We start from the raw sequence: 4,247 nt of genomic DNA on the forward strand, positions 1-4,247 counted from the left end.
ACCTCGTGATCCGCCCGCCTCGGCCTCCCAAAGTGCTGGTATTCCAGGCGTGAGACACCGCTGCCGGCCAGTTCTGTGATCTTAATAAGCCATTTAACCTCTGCCTTAGGCAGCTTATCTGTTGAGCGGTCATTTCCCTCGTCAAGTGCTTGTACAACATTGATAAACATATAATCTGATATTTATGTAAAGTAGCTATTTTTAAAAAAAAGTATGGCTCCTCCCTCGAATCGCAGCCTCTGGGACCAGGGTCGCTCCATCCGTGCTCCGCCTCGCCATGACTTCCTACAGCTATCGCCAGTCGTAGGCCAAGTAGTCCTTCTGGGGCCTGGGTGGTGGCTCCGTGAGTTTTGTGGCAGAGGTTGCCTTTCGCGCGCTCAGCATGCACTGGGCCTCTGGAGGCTGCGGCGTGTCCGTGTCCTCCGCCCGCTTCGTGTCTGTCCTCGTCCTCCTTGGGGGGCTACGGCGGCGTCTTGGCCGTGTCCTACGGGCTGCTGGCGGGCAACGAGAAGCTCAATATGCAGAACCTCAGCGACCCTCTGGCCTCCTACCTGGACAAGGTGGGCGCCCTGGAGGCAGCCAACGGCAAACTGGAGGTGAAGATCCGCGACTGGTACCAGAAGCAGGGGCCCGGGCCCTCCCGTGACTACAGCCACTCTACAAGACTATCCAGGACCTGCGGTACAAGATTCTTGGTGCCACCATTGAGAACTCCAGGATTGTCCTGGAGATCGACAACGCCCGTCTGGCTGCAGATGACTTCCGAACCAAGAGTGAGACGGAGCAGGCTCTGCGCATGAGCGCGGAGGCCGACATCAACGGCCTGCGCAGGGTGCTGGACGAGCTGACCCTGGCCATTACCGACCTGGAGATGCAGATCTAAGGCCTGAAGGAAGAGCTGGCCTACCTGAAGAAGAACCATGAGAAGGAAATCAGTGGGCTGAGGGGCCAAGTGGGAGGCCAGGTCAGTGGGGAGGTGGATTCGGCTCAGGGCACCTATCTCGCCAAGATCCTGAGTTACATGCGAAGCCAATACGAGGTCATGGCGGAGCAGAACTGGAAGGATGCTGAAGCCTGGTTCACCAGCCGGACTGAAGAATTGAACCGGGAGGTCGCTGGCCACACAGATCAGCTCCAGATGAGCCGGTCCAAGGTCGCTGACCTGCGGCGCACCCTCCAGGGTCTTGAGCTGCAGTCACGGCTGAGCATGAAAGCCGCCTTGGAAGCCACACTGGCAGAAACGGAGGCGCGCTTTGGAGTCCAGCTGGCGCAGATCCAGCCGCTGATCAACTGTATTGAAGCCCAGCTGGGCGATGTGCGAGCTGATAGTGAGCGGCAGAATCAGGATTAACAGCAGTTCATGGACATCAAGTCGCGGCTGGAGCAGGAGATCTCCACCTACCGCAGCCTGCTCGAGGGCCAGAAAGATCACTACAACAACCTGTCCGCCTCCAAGGTCCTCTGAGGCAGCAGGCTAAGGGGCTTCTACTGTCCTTTGGAGGGTGTCTCCTGGGTAGGGGGATGGGAAGGAAGGGACCCTTACCCCCTGCTCTTCCCCTGATCTGCCAATAAAATTTTATGGTCCAAGGGGAAAAAAAAAAAAAATATATATATATATATATATATATATATATATGTGTGTGTGTGTGTGTGTGTGTGTATATATACGTGTGTGTGTATATATATATATATATGAAAAACAATACATGCTCGTTGTAGAAATGTGGAAAACATGGCGAACTAATCAGAAATTCATAAATATCACCCGTGACTTTACCACCCAGGGAGATCCACGTTGCTTGCACTTTGTTGAATCTGCTTCCCGTTTGTACTTCTGTTTCTGCATTTCTCCAGGCTAAGAAAGGTGAAAGCAGGGAATCCATCTGCCTTTATCCGACTCAATGATCCTGGTCAGGCAAGGAGGCACTTAACCTTCTGTTGAGTGGATAGGAAATAAGCATGGTTTCCTTATTCTCTCTTGCTCTCTTTTTTTTTTTTTTTTTTTTTTTTTGAGATGGAGTCTTGCTCCAGGCAGTGCAGTGGCATGATCTCGGCTCACTGCAACCTCCGCCTCCTGGGTTCAGGCAATTCTCCCGCCTCAGTCTCCCGAGTAGCTGGGATTACAGGCACATCACCACACCTGGCTAGTTTTTGTATTTTTAGTAGAGATGAGGTTTCACCATGCTGGCTAGGCTGGTCTTGAACTCCTGACCTCAGGTGATCTGCCCACCTCAGCCTCCCCAAGTGCTGAGATTACAGGCGTGAACAGTTGCACCTGGCCACTTCCTTATTATCTTTTTCAAAACTCTTATTTGTGACTCAGGCTGAATTTATTCCATGCCTTAAATATAGGCCTTTATCAAAACTTGGTACCTCTTGATTTTTTTCAGGGCCTGGCTCCTGTTTACCATTTAGTCTCCCAGTTATCTTGTGAGGCTTCTAGGACAGACTTCCCCTGCCCTGGTGCATACTTGTAGAATGATAGAGTGGTAGATGTAGACAGGCCCAGGGAATCTTCTGCTCTCTTTTTTAGTTTCCAAGAGGGAAATCCAAGGCATCCAGAGGGAACTAGATCAAAGTTATAGAGAAGGTTCTCTGCGGAGCCTGGACTCACCTTGAAACTCCTATAGCCCCCAACCCCAGAACAGAACATCTAGAACCTGATGATATAGTCGATCTTGAGATATCCCTGTCCTTGTGTAGAGAAGTCAACTAGAGTTTAATTTATATCTCTACTCCAACTTATGAAGCATTTCTTGGCTGATACAAGGTCTGATTTAGATTTTTTAGGATTTTCTCCCCACTAACACTACAAAAAAGAATCCTTAGGGGTCGTCCTTATAGCTGTCACATTGGCCTCTGTTGACCTTAAGTTTTCCTCTCAGAATACCCTGAGCTGCTTCATTTGCATTATTTCAGTCTTATTTTTCTGTTTTTGGTATTACATGTTCTGTCATCTGTACACATTTTTGTGAGCATAGTCTTTAACACAGGAATAACCAGGAAAGATCTGAAGAATCCCAGTCAGCGGCCATGGTATGTAGTAATTCATGTTAGCGCCTGAAATAATTGTGTTCATTTTAATGGAATTGATATAGTTTAGGCATAAATCTGTGTTGTTTTGGTGCTCAGCTCTACAAAAAACGTCTCCCTTTAATTATAAGAAATTTTCACGTTATAAGAAATAATCCTCTGAAGTATATTTTTGGTGTGGAAAGGCAGGGAGAGTCCATCTTCCATTCATCCTGAGTCTTCTGTCAATTGCTTCCTATGAAGATGCCAGTCGCTCAGTGATCTTGATTACAGGCTTGATTCTCAAGGCCCAAGAGCGGCTGAGCACATTAAAACACACACTTTGGATGCTAAACAAACCACACAGTAATTCCGGGAGAGTTTTAGAAACATTTCTGCTTTGCAAAGGGCTTCAATCACATAATCTTCCATTTTTGTTTCTTTGTTATACATTTTTTTGTTTCTATTTTAATTTACAAATTAAAACTGTATACATTTATGGTACACAACATAAAGTTTTGAAATATGTATATATTGTGAAATGGCTAAATCAAGCTAATTAGTATATGCATTACCACACATACTTATTAATTTGTGGTGAGAATACTTAAAATCCACTCTCAGCAATTTTCAAGTACACAATACATTGTTATTAAGTATAGTCCCCATGTTGTACAATAGCAGCCTCTTCAATAAATGATGTTGGAAAACTGAATAGTACTAGGCCCTTATCTCACACTATATACAAAAATCAACTCAAAAATAAAGACTTAAATGTAAGATCCGAAACTGTAAAGCTACTAGGAAAAAAAAATATGTTTTTAAGAATTTTTGTGCAATTTGTGTGTTATTATTTTTCAATATGGTGCACTTCCATATAATACGTGCAGATCGTTAGTACTATATTCAAGTGTCAGGAAATTTTAATAAAGTAAGGAGATATATATTAAAGGCCACATATCTTCAAACACATTATGCCCTTTAAATTATTTCCTCTCAATCCTAGCAATGACCGAAATTAATCTTTGGTCATTGGGAAGAATGTGGCGGTGTCTCTTTTAGCAGCAGGCACCAGTTGCAACACGACATTGACCATGCAACATCAACTGAAGCAGCCGCCAACTCGCCAGCCAGGCGCACTGGTGGGTCTCCGGCTTCCCCATTGCACTCTGCGCGCAGCGGCGGCGTTTCAGGAACCCAGGCCGGCCGGGCGCTCCTTCCCTCCCAATTCATCC

At 46.5% G+C, this 4,247-nt stretch overlaps 1 pseudogene, besides 1 other annotated feature; it reads left to right on the forward strand.

Annotated features, from left to right (window-relative positions):
* Positions 217 to 1,590, forward strand: KRT19P1 (keratin 19 pseudogene 1; annotated as a pseudogene).
* Positions 371 to 540: an enhancer, noted in NCBI's record as "experimental_94343 CRE fragment used in MPRA reporter constructs". NCBI's record gives its function as "activates a minimal promoter by MPRAs in K562 erythroleukemia cells, with activity observed for both the introgressed and non-introgressed 6:72294602 variant alleles {active_cell/tissue: K562}" and the evidence as "EXISTENCE:reporter gene assay evidence [ECO:0000049][PMID:34662402]".

This window comes from Homo sapiens, chromosome 6 (genome assembly GCF_000001405.40).
Source record: "Homo sapiens chromosome 6, GRCh38.p14 Primary Assembly".
Classification (NCBI taxonomy): Eukaryota; Metazoa; Chordata; class Mammalia; order Primates; family Hominidae; genus Homo; species Homo sapiens.